Raw genomic sequence first — 17,802 nt, forward strand, 5'->3', positions numbered from 1 at the left:
ACTGGACTCCAGCCCGGGCAACAGAGCGAGACCCTATCTCAAAAAGTAAATTAAAAAAATAAACTCTAAAACAAAAAATAAAAAGTACAAAGTCCTATCTTCTCCATGATGGGCTCACAATCCTGAAGTCCAAAAAACTCTGAAATCCAAGTTTTTTCAAAACCTAGTGATAAAACTTGACACGGACCCATTTTAGTCTTAATTACCCTAATTTCCATGAATAATGATAAATTACAATGCAGAAGTATTAATGGGCTTGATTAAGTTAGTAAAGGATGCTACTACTCCCAAACACCACTGTGCCAGTTCACCCAATCTACATTTCTAAAAGCCAAAAAAAAAAAAAGAAGAAGAAGAAAAATAAGAAAAAAGAAAAACGTGTAACACTTGCAGGGAATTTTTTTAAAAAGAAAAAAACTTACGGCACCAACATTTGGGTAATGGATTCTAGACCTATGTTCTCAGACCTATATTTAAGCTTGCACTGACCTGATCCATCCCTGAATATTTATGATCCATATAAGATCACAATTAGGGCAATTAACTTTTTTCTTGTTCTGTATTTGTCAGCTATACCCCTCAACAGATTAAGTCCTCCCACCTCCCATCCCACCCCCTCAGATACCAAAATCTGACGATGCTCAAGTCACTTATATAAAATGGTATGGTATTTGCATACAGCCTATACACATGCTCCTGTATACTTGAAATCATCTCTGGATTACTTATAATACCTAACATAATGTAAATGATATATAAATAGTTATTAAACTGTACTTTAAAATTTTGTATAATTTTTTATTATTGTATTGTTATTTTTAATTTTTTCTAATATTTTTCATCCGCAGTTGGTTGAATCCACAGGTGCGGAATCACAGATAGGGAAGGCCAACTGTATAATTAAAATATAAGCTTCATGAGGATAGGAACCTCTTCTGGCTTGCTCACCACTGTAACCCCAGCAGCTGAAACAATGAATAGCACAAATTTTAGTACCCAATAAATAGCTGAATAAATGAATGAGTGAATTTTAAGGTTCCTGTAACTTCTAATACAATGATTGGCATGTAGCAAATGTCTTTTTTCCTGTTTTACATAACTTTATCTTGTGTTACAATGAGAAAACTATACACAAGTTTTTTCTTAATATGTTTATATTTCACATAGGTGGTTTTCTGTAAATTTACTAAAATATCCTAATTTCAGCACTAACATACTTCCAAATCATATTTTATACATCTTCTGTCTCTGTACCATCACAGCTAGTCTAAGAAAAACAATAACACTCAATGATCTCATTTTATATTCCTGACCACTAACTCCGAGTAAGCCCTTGGTGCTGCCAATACACTTCCCTAATCTATTCCCTCTACCACTCTCCTAAAAAACTATTTCATCCCATCTCCCCTTTCTTCATTGTCCCTAATTTTGCTTCCTATCTGATCACAGCAGTAGTCAGATAGGAAGCAGTAACAAACAGAAAAGTGCCACAAGTGCCCACCATATATCTACCTACCTTCCTACCTGTGTCTGTTCCTATAGTCTGACTGCCTTCCTATCACAATATATAAACGATCTCTCCTTTCAACCTCTTCATTTAGGCAACTATCTCCTTTCTCTCTCACATCATCCATTTCTCATATTTCCTCTGAATAATGCCAATAAGCCTGAAAACAAAAACATACTATAATATCTCTCATGGAAGAAAATTCCTCTTAGCCGAGCAAGATGGCTCACGCCTGTAATCCCAGCAGTTGGGAGGCCAAGGCGGGCAGACCTCACTTGAGGTCAGATACTCAAGACCAGCTTGGCCAACGTGGTGAAACCCCATCTCTACCAAAAATATAAGAAATTAGCCAGGTGTGGTGGCGCATGCCTGTAATCCCAGCTACTCAGGAGGCTGAGGCAGGAGAATTGCTTGAACCCGGGAGGCAGAGGTTGCAGTGAGCCAAGATGGTGCCACTGCACTCCAGCCTAGGTGACAGAGCGAGACTCCGTCTCAAAAAAAAAGAAAAAAAAAAATTCCTCTTGACTCCACATCCTCCACCATCTTCCCATTTCTCTGTTCCTCTTCACAACAAAATTGTTAGAATTCTCTATATTGTCTATTCTCCCTGACCTCCAATCCTTGCTTTTTCTCTTGAACATACTGATTATACTTTCACTGCCACCCCTCCATAGAAACTGCTAGTCAAGGTCACCAACAACCTCCACATTGCTAAGAAGAATGATCAATTCTCAGTCCTCTCATCTTACCTGACCTATCAACAGAATTTGGCACAGCTAAACAGCTCCCTCGCTACCTCACTTGACTTACGGGATACCTTTTTTTTTTTTTTTTTTTTTTTGAGTCAAGGTCTCTCTCTGTCACCCTGGCCAGAGTGCAGTGGCACAATCATAGCTCACTGCAGCCTCAAAATCCTGGGCTCAAGTGATTCTCCTGCCTCAGACCCCAAGTAGCTATTCCAAGTAGCTAGAAATACAGGCATGTGCCACCATGTCCAATTTTTTTTCACTGTTTTAGAGACAGGGTCTCACTAGGTTGCCCAGGCTAGTCTTCAAGTCCTGGCCTCAAGCAATCCTCCGACCTCAGACTCCCGAGTAGCTGGGATGACAGGCATGAGTCACCGTGCCCAGCTCTGGGACTCCTCTCTTGATTGTTCTTCCTCACTGGCTACTACCCTCTGTCTCCTTTGCAGGTTCTTTCCTTCCTCCATGACCTTTAAATACTGGAGTGACGCAGGGTACCCGGACCTCTTCCTTTTTCTATCTACACTCAGTTCCCAAATGACCAGATCCAGTCTTACGGCTTTAAATTTCATCTAACATTGATGATTCACAAATTTCTATCTTCAGATAGAGACTAGCTGAGACCTCTTTCTGGAACTTCAGATTCACATATCTAAATGCTTACTTGACATACTGACTGGATTGTGTAATAGATAGGCACTTAACATGTTTAAAATCAATTCATCTTTGCCCACTGCCCCAAATCTATTCTTCCTACAGGTTTCATTTCAAAATATGGTAATTCCAAAGAGAAATATTTAGGCCAAAAATCTCTACCCATCCTTAATTGCTTTTTCTCTCAAACCCCTCATGTCCATTTGGTCAGCTAAGTTTGTCAGCTTTACCTTCAAAATGTATGCAGAATCTAACCAGTTGTCATTACTCTGACAGCTATTAGATCCAAGTGATGATAAATATGTGAATGGATTATTGCAATAGCTTTTTTTTTTTTTAAAGAAAGAGGTTTATTTAAAGGAATTGCTCACATGATTATGGAAGCTGGCCAGTCCCAAAATCTGCAGGGTGGGTCAGTGGCAGGCTGAAGACCCAGGAAGACCCAATGTTTTCATTCTGCTGGCAGACTTGCCTCTTACTGAGGAGAGGTCAATCTTTTGTTCTGTTAATGCCTTCAGTTGAGTAGATGAAGTTCCTCCCCAACATTATGGAGGGTGATCTGCTTAACTCAAAGTCCATTGATTTATTGATTTTTTAATATATTTAACTTTTATTCTAAGTTCAGGGGTACATGTGCAGGTTTGTTACGTGGGTAAACTTGTGTCATGGGGGTTTATTTCATCACCCAGGTATTAAGCCTAGTACCCATTAGTTATTTTTCCTGATTCTCTCCCTCTTCCCACCCTCCACCCTCCAATAAGCCCCAGTGTGTGTTGTTCCCCTCTATGTGTCCATGTGTTGTCATCATTTAGCTCCCATTTATATGTGAGAACATACAGTATTTGATTTTCTGTTCCTGCACTAGTTTGCCAAAGATAATGGCCTCCACTCCATCCATGATCCTGCCAAGTACATGATCTCATTTTTTTTTTGTGGCTCCATAGCATTTCATGATGTATATGTACTACATTTTCTTTATCCAGTCTACCATTGGTGGGCATTTAGGTTAATCCCATGTCTTTGCTATTGTGAATAGTGCTGCAATGAAGATACGCATGCATCTGTCTTTATGATTTATATTCCTTTGGGTATATACCCAGTAACGGGACTGCTGAGTCAAATGTTATTTCTGTTTTTAGGTCTTTGAGGGATGACCACAGTCTTCCACAATGGCTTAACTAATTTACACTCCCACCAATAGTGTATAAGCACTCCTTTCTCTCTGCAACCTTGCCAGCATCTTTTTTTTTTTTTTTTTGACTTTTTAATAGCCATTCTGAATGATGTGAGATGGTCTCACTGTGGTTTTGATTTGCATTTCTTGAATGATCAGTGATGTTGAGCTTTTCCTCATGATTGTTGGCTGCATGTATGTCTTCTTTTGAGAAGTGTCTGTTCATGTCCTTTACCCACTTTTTAATCATTTTTTTTCTCATAGATTTGCTTAAGTTCCTTACAGATGCTGACATTAGACCTTTGTCAGATGCATAGCTTGCAAAATGCAACATGCTTCTAACTGGTTCCTTGCTTCAACCCTCATATCTCTTCCAGTCTTCTCAATTCAGTTGCAGGGTGATCCTTTCAAAGCCTGATTCAGATCATGTCACTCCTCTGCTCAAAACCCTTTCGTAGGCTTCCTATCTCCCTCAAAGCAGAAGCCAAAATTTTTTAAATGGTCTAAAGATCCAATTTAATTTGTCCTAAAGTCCTCTCTACCTCTCTTCCATCGCCTACCAGTCTCCTCACTTAGTTCCAAGAAGGAGGTACAAAAGTTTCCCTTCTGGTGGAGATTGCAGTGAGCCGAGATTGCGCCACTGCACTCCAGCCTAGGTAACAGAGCAAGACTCTGTCTCAAAAAAAAATAAAAAAAATAAAAAAAAAAGAAGTTTCCCTTCTGTTTCTCAAACACAACAAAAATACTCTTTACCTTGGGACCTTTGCACTTACCATTCCGCTTGACAGAACACCCTTTCCCCAGATAATTGCATATCTTGCTCTTTCACTTCCTTCGTATCTTTGTCTAAACGTAATTTTACAGAAGAAGCATTTCCTAAAAAAAACACCTATCCCCCCACCACCCTCTACTCACATTCAGTATCCTATTTTATTCTCATACTCTTCTTACCACCTGGTGTACTATATATTTGTTGTGTACATCTTTCCATTGAAATTTGAACTCTACCAGGAAATAGACTTATCAGTTTGGTTCACTGCTATATCCCAGCACGTAGAACACTAGCTGGCATATAGTAGGTGTTCAATAAATATTTGTAGAATTAATTCCCTGACTTATGTGGGTTATATTTTACGAGCTTCAAATTGTCCCCTTTCTAGGCCGGGCTCAGTGGCTCACGCCTGTAATCCCAGCACTTTGGGAGGCCAAGGCAGGCAGATCACTTGAGGTCAGGAGTTTGAGACCAGCCTGGCCAACATGGTGAAACCCCGTCTCTACTAAAAAAAAAAAAAAATACAAAAATTAGCTGGGCATGGTGGCACGCTCCTGTAATCTCAGCTACTCAGGAGGTTGAGGCAGGAGAACTGTTTGAACACAGGAGGTGGAGGTTGCAGTGAGCCAAGACTGTGCCACTGCACTCCAGCCTGGGTGACAGACCAAGACTCTGTCTCGGGAAGGAAAAAAAAAAATCAAAAAAATTAGCTGGGCATGGTGGCACGTGCCTATCGTCCCAGCTACCCAGGAGGCTGAGGTGGGAGGATCACCTGAGTCTAGGAGGTCGAGGCTGCAGTGAGCCATGATCACAGCACTGTACTCTAGCCCGGGCAATCAAACAATAAGCTGGGTATGGTGGGACACACTTGTAGTCCTAGCTACTCCAGAGGCACTCCAGCCTGGCCAACAGAGTGACACTCTGTCTCAATCAATCAATCAATATTAAAAAATTAGCTGGGTGTGGTGGGACACACCTGTAGGCCTAGTTACTCTGGAGGCTGAGATGAGAAGATCACTTGAGCCCAAGTGTTCAACACTGGAGTGAGCTAGAATCGTGCCACTGCACTCCAGTCTGGGCAATAAAGAGAGACCCCCATCTCAAAAAACAGATGTAACAAAAAACCCACAACATTTTACAATTTGGAAAAAAAAAAAAAGAATTGCTTTTATATTCATTACTCACAAATGCATACATTTTAAATTTTCCCATTACAATTTTTGTAATGAAAGAATTCCATGTCTTAATATGTATAACTGCAAAATTTATATGTATAAATGAAGAATTTCAGCATTTTTCCAAAGAATTCTTTTTTTTTTTGAAACAGAGTCTCCCTGTCACCCAGGCTGGAGTGCAGTGGCGTGATCTCGGCTCACTGCAACCTCCGCCTCCCGGGTTCAAGCAAAGAATTCATTTTTTATCTGCACTTAATTCCCTTTCAAAACATTACAGAGAAAGGTCTGACAGAAACATGATTCTCATTTTAAAAATGAAAAAAAATTATAAAACTTAATCCAAGTGACACATATTATTACATAAATAGCAGAGTACCAATAAACTGAAAAGAGATTTGAAAACATTTATTTCCCCCCCTAAAAATGTATATGAGAAGAGAGAAATACTACATTTCCCTAACATGATCAAGGAGAAAAACGAACAGTATGCTTACAGGCATATTTTGAGAATCCATTTAGGTAGTAAAACTGGAAAATCATGATTGGCAAACCCCACATACCAAATTTAAGAGTTTCTAGTCAAGATAAACCCAAATTCTGAAGATATTTCACAACAGAGTGCTTTTTATCTGCTGAATGTAAACTGCTTGAAAAACAGTCCCTACAGCAGCTGCCAGAATGCTGTTTTTTGAACTTTCAAAGCAATGTTCATTGAGAATATCATTCTTTCAGCTTTTGGAAAAATATCTAAACAATCTAGGTTTTCCATCCAGGGGCAAGGATGCCATGTTGTAACACAACTTATTTTGGTTTCTACTACAATATATTCAACTTAAAATACATTTCCAAGGAAAAACACAGACCTAAGATTGCTAGAATCTCTTCACTCAAACAGGCAAACTCAATATTCATCTCACATGCAATTTTGGGATTTATGTTTTCAAATCTCTGGAACAATGTGGGACAGTCTGGTCCAAATTCAAAGGAAAGTAACACTGTACCTACAGCATTAAATACTTTTGCACAAATCATTACAGCATTAAGTAAACTCTTTAGAAAATTACTAACCATATGTTTTTTAAAAAGGAAATTACTAATTATATTAATAGGACATATACATTGTATAAAAACAAAGTATGATAATCTAACAATATGTTAAAAACTACCTACAAATTTACAAATACATATTCTCTACAAAATGAAGACCTCTATCCACCCCAACACCTGCCATTCTAATCCCACATCCAAGTAACAAACAGTGGATCTGATAAAAATTAACTAATACACTGTTATTAATATAGTGGTCTGGGCTGGGCGTGGTTGCTCATGCCTATAAATCCCAGCACTTTGGGAGGCTGAGGCGAGTGGATCACCTGAGGTCAGGAGTTCAAGACCAGCCTGGCCAACATGGTGAAACTCCATCTCTACTAAAAATACAAAAATTAGCCAGGTGTGGTGGCAGGTGCCTGTCATCCCAGCTACTCAGGAGGCTGAGGCAGAAGAATCACTTGAACCCAGGAGGCACAGGTTGCAGTGAGCCGAGATTGTGCCACTGCACTCCAGCCTGGGCAACAGAGTGAGACTCTGTCTCAAAAAAAAAAAAAAAATTATATATATATATATGCACACATATATATGTGTATATATATGTATATATATATGTATGTATGTATATGTATGTATGTGTATATATGTGTGCATATATATGTGTGTGTGTGTATATATATATGGGGGGAGAGAGAGAGAGAGAGAGTGTGTGTGTGTGTTGGTGGCGAAGGTCTGGTCTGAGATACAGAACTACTCTGGAAGACAACTATGTTTGGAAATCATTTTATATGTAAATACCCCATCTATTTTCAGGGGTAGAAAGGGAATAGCCATGCTTTGATGGAACACTATTCAGCAAAACAATATAAAATCAACCAAATTTTTTAAAGTACTACAAATGAGTCCTCACAGTGAATTTAGCATCAGTAAAAGTAATAAAATACTTACTGAGTTCTTAGCATGTACAAAGCTCTATGCCAAATGTTTTACATATATTATCTCATTTAAGGCTCACAATCAGCATGCGGTAGTTACTATTATTATTCCCTTTTTAGACATGAAAAGACAGGCTAATGGCCAATAAAAGGCAGAAACAGGTCTGTTTCGCTCCTCTTAACCACTATGCTTTGCTGCCTCCCAAAGATCATCTTTAGGCTGGGCGTGGTGGCTCACACCTGTAATCACAGCACTTTGGGAGGCCGAGGCGGGTGGATCATGAGGTCAGGAGTTTGAGACCAGCATGGCCAATATGGTGAAACCCCGTCTCCACTTAAAAAAAAAAAAAATTGGCCAGGCGTGGTGGTGTGCACCTGTAGTCCTAGCTACTCGGGAGGCTGAGGCAGAAGAATCACTTGAACCTGGCAGGCAAAGGTTGCAGTGAGCCCAGATCGCACCGCTGCACTCCATTCAGCCTGGATGACAGAGCGAGACTCCGTCTCAAAAAAAAAAAAAAAAGAAAAGATCATCTTTAGTCTCGATCTTATTATTTCTCTCTGCTACATTTGGCATATTTGCTACGTTTGAAACTCTTTGGTTTCTATGATACATTCTACTGGTTCTCCCAACACCTCTCCAACCATTTCATCATTTCCTTTATGGATTCATCATTCTTAATCTATTCCTTCATTCATTCAACAAATGTTTTCTGAGAGCCTCAAAATATGTTTTGAGAATTGTGACACACACTGTAGATACCGTCATGAGTAACACAAACATGGTCCTTGGTCTCATGAACTTTAAGTGCTTTCTTTCCTTTAAATTTTTTTATTATTATTTTTATTTATTTATTTATTTTCTGAGAGTTCCCAGCTGCTTGAGCCCAGAAGGTCAAGGCTATAGTGAGCCATGGTGGTGCCATTGCACTCCACGCTGGAAACAGGCCGAGATCCAATCTCAAAAAAGAAAAAAAAAAAAAATTTGGAATTCACAAAGAAGGTATTAAAGGGCTCTGAGAAGGACAATAACAAGATACAAGCCTACATTTTGAGAAACATCTGTTTGCTGAGGAAGGAAGATTATTCCAAAGACAGCAAAAGTTGGTTCTGGAATACCAGTCATATCAGCATACTAGATTAGGATGGTAACAATGGAAATAGAGAAAAACGGGTGGATTTAAGAGACATGTTAGATATTTGTCAATATAATGTGAGAGGATGAGGGTGGAAAAAACTGAAGACTTGACCAAATGGTAAATGGTATGGTGGTACCATTTGGAGACTCATTCAACAAATATTTACCAAGTTATATATCAAGAACTGGAGATACAATAGTACAAAATATAGACAAAAACCCTTGCTTTGTGGGGCCAATATTCTAGAAGTATGCCAGGATGAGACAGAAAGGGAAGATCAAAGGGTTCAGTAATAAGTACATTAAATTTTAGGTACCTGTGAAACATTTAAGTGGAAAGTCAAAGAGAGAGCTGAAAATATATGTATATGCTATATACAGAGGGAGGCAGTGTAACAACATACAAATGAAAAAGTTAACGGAATTTTATAAGATTTTTAGCCTGGAAGAACAATGAAGAACAATTCTTTTTCTTTTTAGATAAGTAAACCTATTTAAAATTGCCATGTTATAGATTAAACAATGCAGGTAGATTGTTAGCTTAAAACAAGTAAAATCTGGCCAGGTGCGGTGGCTCATGCCCATAACCTCAGCACTTTGGCAGGCCAAGGCGGGTGGATCACCTGAGGTCAGGAGCAAGACCAGCCTAGCCAACACAGTGAAACTCTTTTCTCTACTAAAAATACAAAAATTAGCGGGACATGGTGGCACACGCCTGTAATCCCAACTACTCGGGAGGCTGAGGCAGGAGAATCGCTTGAACCCAGAAGGCAGAGGTTGTGGTGAGCCAAGATCGTGCCATTGCACTCCAGCCTGGGCAACAATAGTAAAACTCCATTTAAAAAAAAAAAAAAAAAGTAAAATCTAACTTGTCTTATCTGAGGATTTTTTTTTTTTTTAAGACTGGGTTTTGCTCTGTTGCCAAGGCTGGAATGCAGTGGCATCTTCTTAGCTCACTGCAGCCTCAAACTCTGGAGCTCAAATGATTCTCTCACCTCAGCCTCCCGCGCAGCTAACAGGGGGCAAGCCACCATGCCTGCTCATCTACAAGGAATTTTTGTTTTCCTTTGTGATCTTTATTAAACATGGCTAGAGACTTTTTATTTCTAAACATTACAACATTATTTCTTAACATTAAAAACCAGTTATAGGCTGGGTGTGGTGGTTCACGCCTGTAATCCCAACACTTTGGGAGGCCAAGGCAATAGGACTGCTTGAACTCAGGAACTTGAGGCCTCAGTAAGCTAAGAAAATATCACTGCATTTCAGCCTTGGCAACAGGGCAAGACCCCATCTCTTAAAAAAAAAAAAAAAAAGTATAAATTAGCGACACAAGATTTTATTTAAAAATGTATAGCACATTAGGCCAGGCATGGTGGCTCACACCTGTAATCCCAGCACTTGGGAGGTTGAGGCAGGCAGATCACCCGAGGTTGGGTTGGGAGTTTGAGACCAGCCTGACCAACATGGAAAAACACTGTCTCTAATAAAAATACAAAATTAGCCAGGCGTGGTGGCGCATGCCTGTAATCCCAGCTACTCAGGACGCTGAGGCAGGAGAATCTCTTGAACCTGGGAGGCAGAGATTGCAGTGAGCCGAGATCGTGCCATTGCACGCCAGCCTGGGCAACAAGAGCAAAACTCCATCTCAAGAAAAAAAAAAAAAAGAAAAAAATTTATAGCACATTATTCATTTAAATTTGTGCTGGGCTTCAGACTCTTTAAAATTTCCACAGATAACCATCATATTTCTTAGGATATATCAAACTAGCTAAGTAATCACATACCCAGGAAATGGAGGTTCTAGTCAAGCCAAAAAGTAAGTGCGAAGGTCTTGAGGTGGAAGTATTTTTGTTGTGTTTCAGAAATAGAATGGAGACCTTTGCCCAACCCGGCTTCCTGGAACTGAATGAGTACGCAGACTGAGAGGGCATGCAGGACTTATACAGAGGGCCTTGCAGACTTATAAAGACTTTAGCTTTTACTTTGAGACAGGAAGCCATCAAAATGGTTTTAAGAAATGACATGATCTGACTCAGGCCTTGAAAAGATCATCTGCTACTGAATTGAGATGACAAATTTTTGGCCTAATAACTTGTTATCATCCTTGACTCCTTCCTTTATCTCAAATCCTACACACGCAGTCTGTCAGCAAAATCTGTCAGCTTTACCTTCAAAACATATGCAGTCATTTCTCACTACTCAACAGCTCCCATATATGAATACGCTATGTCTGTCAAAAGTAGAACCCATGCTTTTAATACTTCTACATAATGAGGGAGGCTAATCCAGGATGACTGCTCAAGCCCAGAAGTTCAAGGCTGCAGTGAGCTATGATCATGCCACTGCACTCCAGCCTGGGTGACAGAGTGAGAACCAGTCTCTAAAAAAAGTTAAAAGAAAAAAGAAAGAGGCCAGGCGCAGTGGCTCATGCCTGTAATCCCAGCACTTTGGGAGGCTGAAATGGGCAGATCACAAGGTCAGGAGATCGAGACCATCCTGGCTAACATGGTGAAACCTCGTCTCTACCAAAAATACAAAAAAAAATTAGCCGGGCGTGGTGGCGAGTGCCTGTAGTCCCAGCTACTTGGGAGGCTGAGACAGGAGAATGGTGTGAACCCTGGAGGCGAGGCTTGCAGAGAGCCGAGGTCACACCACTGCACTCCAGCCTGGCGACAGAGCAAGACTCTGTCTCAAAAAAAAAAAAAGGGAAAAAAGAAAGAAATTCAACACAGAAAGGCAATTATTTATCAAATGTTATCAAACAAACCCAAAGAAGTCAAAACTCCCTAAAACATGCCTGCAGTGCATTTGCTGCCTAGAGTTTAAAGCTGATAGACTTTAAGATTAAGAGGTAATTTCAAGGGATTAAATATTACAATGATTATATCTGAAAACCAAAAGCTTGGGCATTATTCACTCACTGAAACGAATTTAAAGAAACAAACAAGAAGAGTATTTGGGTATCCTGGGAGTGTTTTTCAAACTCCACTAACATTTATCTATCTTAGTCCTACTAGGCGCCATACACTATGCCAAAGTGGTTTCACTTATTGTCTCATTTGTTTCATTCTGACAATAATCTTATTAGATTTAACTAATCACATTTTATAGATGGGCAAACAGGCTTCGAAACGTGATTAACTCTAAGACTGTAAAATTAGTAAATAGAAGAACTTGGATTGAATGTAATCTTCTCACTCCAAATCTACTACAGGATATCCATCTGCAAGAAAAGAACTCAGACCCTTACCTCACATCATACACAAAAATTAACTCAAGTGGATCACAAATCTAAATTCGAAAACGAACTATAAAATTCCTAAAAGAAAATGTAGAAGGAAATCTTTGTGACTTTGGGTTAGGCAAAATTTCTTAGATATGACAGCATGATTTTTTTTTTTTAAAAAAAGCTGGTAAACTGAACTTCACCAAAACTATAAACTTCTGTCCTTCAAAAAGGCAGTACTAAGAAAATGAACACAAGACACAAACTACTACAGGTTACTGTGATAGTACACATTCCTGCCACCTCTCTGGAAGCCACTCCTGAGTCTTATCTGCTGATCTGATTTGGCCTACCAGACTTCCAGATGTTGGAATTCCTTAGGTTCAGTCAGTCTTTTCTTTCTCTAAAATATTTTGGCATTTTTTAAATTTTTTAATTTTTATTTATTTTTTATTTTTATTTTTGGAGATGGAGTCTCACTCTGTCACCCAGGCTGGAGTGCTGTGGCACCATCTTGGCTCACTGCAACCTCTGCATCCTGGGTTCAAGTGAGTCTCCTGTCTCAGCCTCCAAAGTGGCTGGGACTACAGGTGCGCATCACCAGGCCAGGCTAATTTTTGTATCTTTAGTACTTATATTTTGCATTTTGGAGATGGGGTTTCACCATTTTGGCCAGGTTGGTCTTGAACGTCTGACCTCAAGTGATCTGTCCACCTCAGCCTCCCAAAGTGCTGGGATTACAGGCATGAGCTATGGCACCTGGCGTTTTTTTGTTTGTTTGTTTGTTTGTTTGTTTTTGAGATGGAGTCTCACTCTGTCACCCAGGCTGGAATGCAATGGCGCAATCTCGGCTCACTGCAACCTCTGCCTTCTGGGTTCAAGCGAGTCTCCTGCCTCAGCCTCCCGAGTAGCCGGGACTACAGGAACGCACCACCACATCCGGCTAATTTTTTATATTTTCAGTAGAGACAAGGTTTCACTATATTGAACTCCTGACCTCGTGATCTGCCCGCCTCGGCCTTCCAAAGTGCTGGGATTACAGGTGTGAACCACTGTACCCAGCCTTTTTTTTTTTTTTTTTTTTTTAATAAAGACGGCTCTATCATCTGGCCTGGGGTACAGTGGCATAATAATAGCTTACTGCAGCCTCCAACTCCTGTGCTCAAGGGATCCTCCCACCTCAGCTTCCCAAGTAATAGGGACCATAGGCATGTGCCACTGCACCTGGCTCCTACTCTAGATTCTTTCCCTGTGTAATTTATTATACTACTTAAGACTTTTAAGCTCCAGACAGTATATCTGAAACCTGGTTCAATATCTTTACAAAGTTTAATCCTCCTCCAATCTTTCCCATTTCAGTACCACCAATTGCTCAAGTCAGAGCTACTACTAGTCAAACTACTACAGGTTACTATGATAGTACACATTCCTGCCACCTCTCTGGAAGCCACTCCTGAGTCTTATCTGCAGATCTGATTTGGCCTACCAGACTCCCAGATGTTGGAATTCTTTAGGTTCAGTCAGTCTTTTGCTTCTCTAAAATCTTTTGGTATCTTTTTAATTTTTTAATTTTTATTTTTTATTTTTTGAGATGGAGTCTCACTCTGTCACCCAGGCTGGAGTGCAGTGGCACTCATCCTGACTATTCTCACTCCCTTATTGTCAACCTTCAACCTAACACCAAAACTTCTGAATGTCACATAAATAATCTGTGATTACATAGAGTTCCTCTCCAATTCTCCCACTGACTTGTCCAAAAAAACCAACAATTCTCACCCAGAATATAGCAACAGCCCTCTAACTTCTTTGTACATCTACCTTGCTCTCCTCCAGCCCAAGCTACATCCAGAAAGGTGTTTTATTTTATATATATATATATATTTTGTTCTTGTTCTTTGAGAAAAAATCTTGCTCTGTCACCCAGGCTGGAGAGCAGTGGCACGATCATAGTTCACTGCAGTCCCAACCTCCTGGGCCCAAGCAGCCTTAGCCTCCTGAGTAGCTGGGACTACAGGCACACACCAACCATGCCCAGCCAATTTTTTATTTTTGTAGAGACAGCATCTTGCTATGTTGCCCAGGCTGGTCTCGAACTCCTGGGCTCAAACGATCTTCCAGCCTCGGCCTCCCAAAGTGCTGGGAATGCAGGCGTGAGCCACTAGAGATTGTTTTTCTCAAAGGCCCAGTGGCTCATGCCTGTAATCCCAGCACATTGAGGCCAAGGCAGGAAGATCGCTTGAGGCCAAGGCAGGACGATCGCTTGAGCCCAGGATTTTGAGACCAGCCTGGGCAACACAGCAAGACCTCATCTCCACTAAAAATAAAAAATAAAATAAAAAATCAGCTAGGTGTTGTGGCACACCCACCTGTAGTACCAGCTACTCAGGAAGCTGAGGTGGGAGGATTCCTTGAGCCCAGGAGGTCAAGGCTACAGTGAGCTATGATTGCACCACTGACTCCAGCCTGGGTGACAGAGCAAGACCTTGTCTCAAAAAAAAAAAAAATTCTGATAATGTAATTTCCCTGCTTAAAATCTTTGAATGTTTTCTCACTGCCCTTCATATATAAAAGTCCCTAATCACACTCATAACTTGCAACTTACAATCTGCAGCATGGTTTGGTGGTTAAGAATATAGTCTCTGAAGCCAAAACACAGTCTCAGAAGCTAGTCCTGCTATATTAATTTTGTGCAAAGTACTCACGGCCTCAGTTCTCTCAAATGTGAATAGAAATTGTTGTAAGGGTTCAATAAACTAATATATGAAAAGTACTTAGAACAGCACTTCACAGTATCACTGTTTACTTTTTGTTGTTGTTAACTGCCCCTACATATCTCTGGCCTCACCATTCCCCACACTGTTGTGAGCAGAGCAAGAGCAAATAACCACCACCAAAAAAAAGCAAGCACTCAGCTGGGTGCAGTTACTCAAACCTGTAATCCCAGCACTTTGGGAGGCCAAGGCAGGCAGACTGCTTGAGTCTAAGAGTTTGAGATCAGCCTGGCAACACAGCAAAACCCCATCTCTACAAAAAATGCAAAAATTAGCTGGATATGGTGGCTCATGCCCATAGTCCCAGCTACTTGGGAGGCTGAGGTGGGAGGATCGCTTGAGCCTGGGAAGTCAAGGCTGCAGCGAGCTAAGATCACACCACTGCACTCCAGCCTGAGTGACAACACGAGACCCTGTCTTAACAACAACAACAACAGGAAACAACAAAAAAGCAAACACTCATACATCTGTGATACATGTGTTTGAAGCACTTTTCAGTTCCCAAATAACTGTTTTCCCTCCTTTAGAACATACAGTTAGTTCTCTCTGCCTGGAACTCTCTTCCAGCATCTTTCCATATGACTACTTCTCTTCCTTTCCATCTTAGTTTAAAAGTCATTCCCTCGGGGAGACATTTCCTATTCCCCTAGACTTGGGAGGCTGAGGCGGGAGGATGGCTTGAGTCTGGCAGATCACCCTGCTAAGTGCATATCCATACTATAAGTCTCTTAATATGCATTATACCAATTAAGTTATTTAATATCCATATCTTCCACTAGACCATGCATTACATGAGAATAAAAATCCTGTTTGCTGTATTCACTGCTACATCCTTAGCAAAGCACCTAGAACATAAAGGGCATTCAAAAAATATCTATTGAATGAGTAAACAAACATTAATTCTACATTTTAAAACGTGTATATAGATAAAAGAGAATAGGCAAAATGAAACTTAAAATATTAAAAATTGATATTTTTCTTTAAATATTATATAAATTTTTCAGTTTCTATAATTTAAAAAATAAGCACTATATACACCATGTAATGTGCTTTCCAAAGGTAAAAGAGTAACCCATGCCCTAATTAGTTTGAAGATATTTTACATGAAACTACTAAGTCACTAATATTATATAAGTCACTAAAATCACAAAAAAATTAGAATAGCTTCATGAAGTTACCAACAAAATTGGAAGCAATTTCTACAATATAAACTATACTTACAAAGTTAGACAAATTTTTTACTCAACTATAGAACCCTTCACTGAAAAGATGACAATCAGTAACCATTTCTAACTCTCAAAGTACTGATATCCAATAAATCTAGTTAGTTTCATATTTATGTACTCTATATATTTCTTCAATTTCAAGAAGCTGCTGATTTTAAGAAGCTTCATGAATCAATAACCATATTTTTAGGGGTGAGGGAGCACTACTAGATTAAATGTAAACATCAATTATGTTATTTCCTAATTTTAGAAATATTAAACTGGGAGGAAAGTATGCATCTCATGACCAAGAAAATACTGTATTATACCAACAAGTCCTTCTAGAAACTTAGAACAGGAAAGTGAAATAGACATAAATTTCCAATTACCAAGTCACAAGGGGAAAAGTAAGCCCCAGAAAGCAGTCCCAAGGCTAAAAATCTTGATGGAAAAATTATACTCAGACTGCCATACAGATTATCCAATCAAACCTTACTTAGCTTACCTGAATAGCAAAGTTAACGTAGATCAAAAATATAACTGCAATTCTGTTTTGTTAAAAAAGAGGGGGAGGGGGATAGGAATGTAGGATTGTGTTTCCGAGAAATATATAGGAACACTGATCTCAATCTTTAGGGAATTCTAAAATGACAACAGGAAGAAAGTTCAAGTTGTATCAGAAAGATTTTCCCATTAATAAATTATTACATTTTGGGCCACGCACGGTGGCTTACGCCTGTAATCCCAGCACTTTGGGAGTCTGAGGCGGGCGGATCACGAGGTCAGGAGATCGAGACCATCCTGGCTAACACAGTGAAACCCCATCTCTATCAAAAATACAAAAAATTAGCCAGGCGTGGTGGTGGGCGCCTGTAGTCCCAGCTACTTGGAAGGCTGAGGCAGGAGAATGGCGTGAACCTGAGAGGTGGAGCTTGCAGTGAGCCCAGGTTGCGCCACTGCACTCCAGCCTGGGCAACAGAGCAAGACTCTGTCTCAAATAAATAAATAAATAATTACATTTTGGCGATGATTACAGCCTGTCAACTGAAGGCCACTGAACATGCTTATATTTTAAACAAAAGAGCCACTTCTAAGAAGGCAAAATTCATGCTGTAATTAATTAATTAATTTTTTTTTTTTTTTTGAGAAGGAGTCTCATTCTGTCACCCAGGCTGGAGTGCAGTGGTGCAATCTTGGCTCACTGCAACCTCCACCTCCCAGGTTCAAGTGATTCTCCTGCCTCAGCCTCCTGAGTAGCTGGGATTACATGTGCCCGCCACCATGCCCAGCTAATTTTTTGTATTTTTAGTACAGACAGGGTTTCATCATGTTGGTCAGGCTGCCTGACCTCAGGTGATCCACCTGCCTAGGCCTCCCAAAGTGCTGGGATTACAGGCGTGAGCCACCATGCCTGGCCAAAACCATTAAATCTTACACCTTGTTATTACTTTTTTT

The 17,802-nt window shown here is 40.0% G+C and overlaps 1 protein-coding gene across 13 annotated transcripts in view, besides 2 other annotated features; it reads right to left on the reverse strand.

The window, feature by feature from the left end:
- Positions 1-17,802, reverse strand: part of ASH1L (ASH1 like histone lysine methyltransferase) — a 227,935-nt gene that overhangs the window by 189,939 nt on the left and 20,194 nt on the right. Inside the window, exon 1 of one of the 13 annotated variants that reach the window (XM_047425235.1) lies at positions 3,276-7,162. The exons of the other annotated variants lie outside the window; for them this stretch is intronic. The gene's annotated coding sequence lies outside the window, so the exon portion shown is untranslated. Of the gene's footprint in view, positions 1-3,275; positions 7,163-17,802 lie in introns of those variants that run through there. 13 annotated transcript variants of the gene reach the window in all.
- Positions 4,972-5,473: an enhancer, noted in NCBI's record as "H3K4me1 hESC enhancer chr1:155499969-155500470 (GRCh37/hg19 assembly coordinates)". NCBI's record gives its function as "activates a minimal SCP1, AML or CMV promoter by ChIP-STARR-seq in primed H9 embryonic stem cells {active_cell/tissue: H9 hESC(primed)}" and the evidence as "EXISTENCE:reporter gene assay evidence [ECO:0000049][PMID:30033119]".
- Positions 15,615-15,664: a silencer, noted in NCBI's record as "silent region_1406". NCBI's record gives its function as "represses an Ori minimal core promoter by ATAC-STARR-seq in GM12878 lymphoblastoid cells {active_cell/tissue: GM12878}" and the evidence as "EXISTENCE:reporter gene assay evidence [ECO:0000049][PMID:35858748]".

This window comes from Homo sapiens, chromosome 1 (genome assembly GCF_000001405.40).
Source record: "Homo sapiens chromosome 1, GRCh38.p14 Primary Assembly".
Classification (NCBI taxonomy): Eukaryota; Metazoa; Chordata; class Mammalia; order Primates; family Hominidae; genus Homo; species Homo sapiens.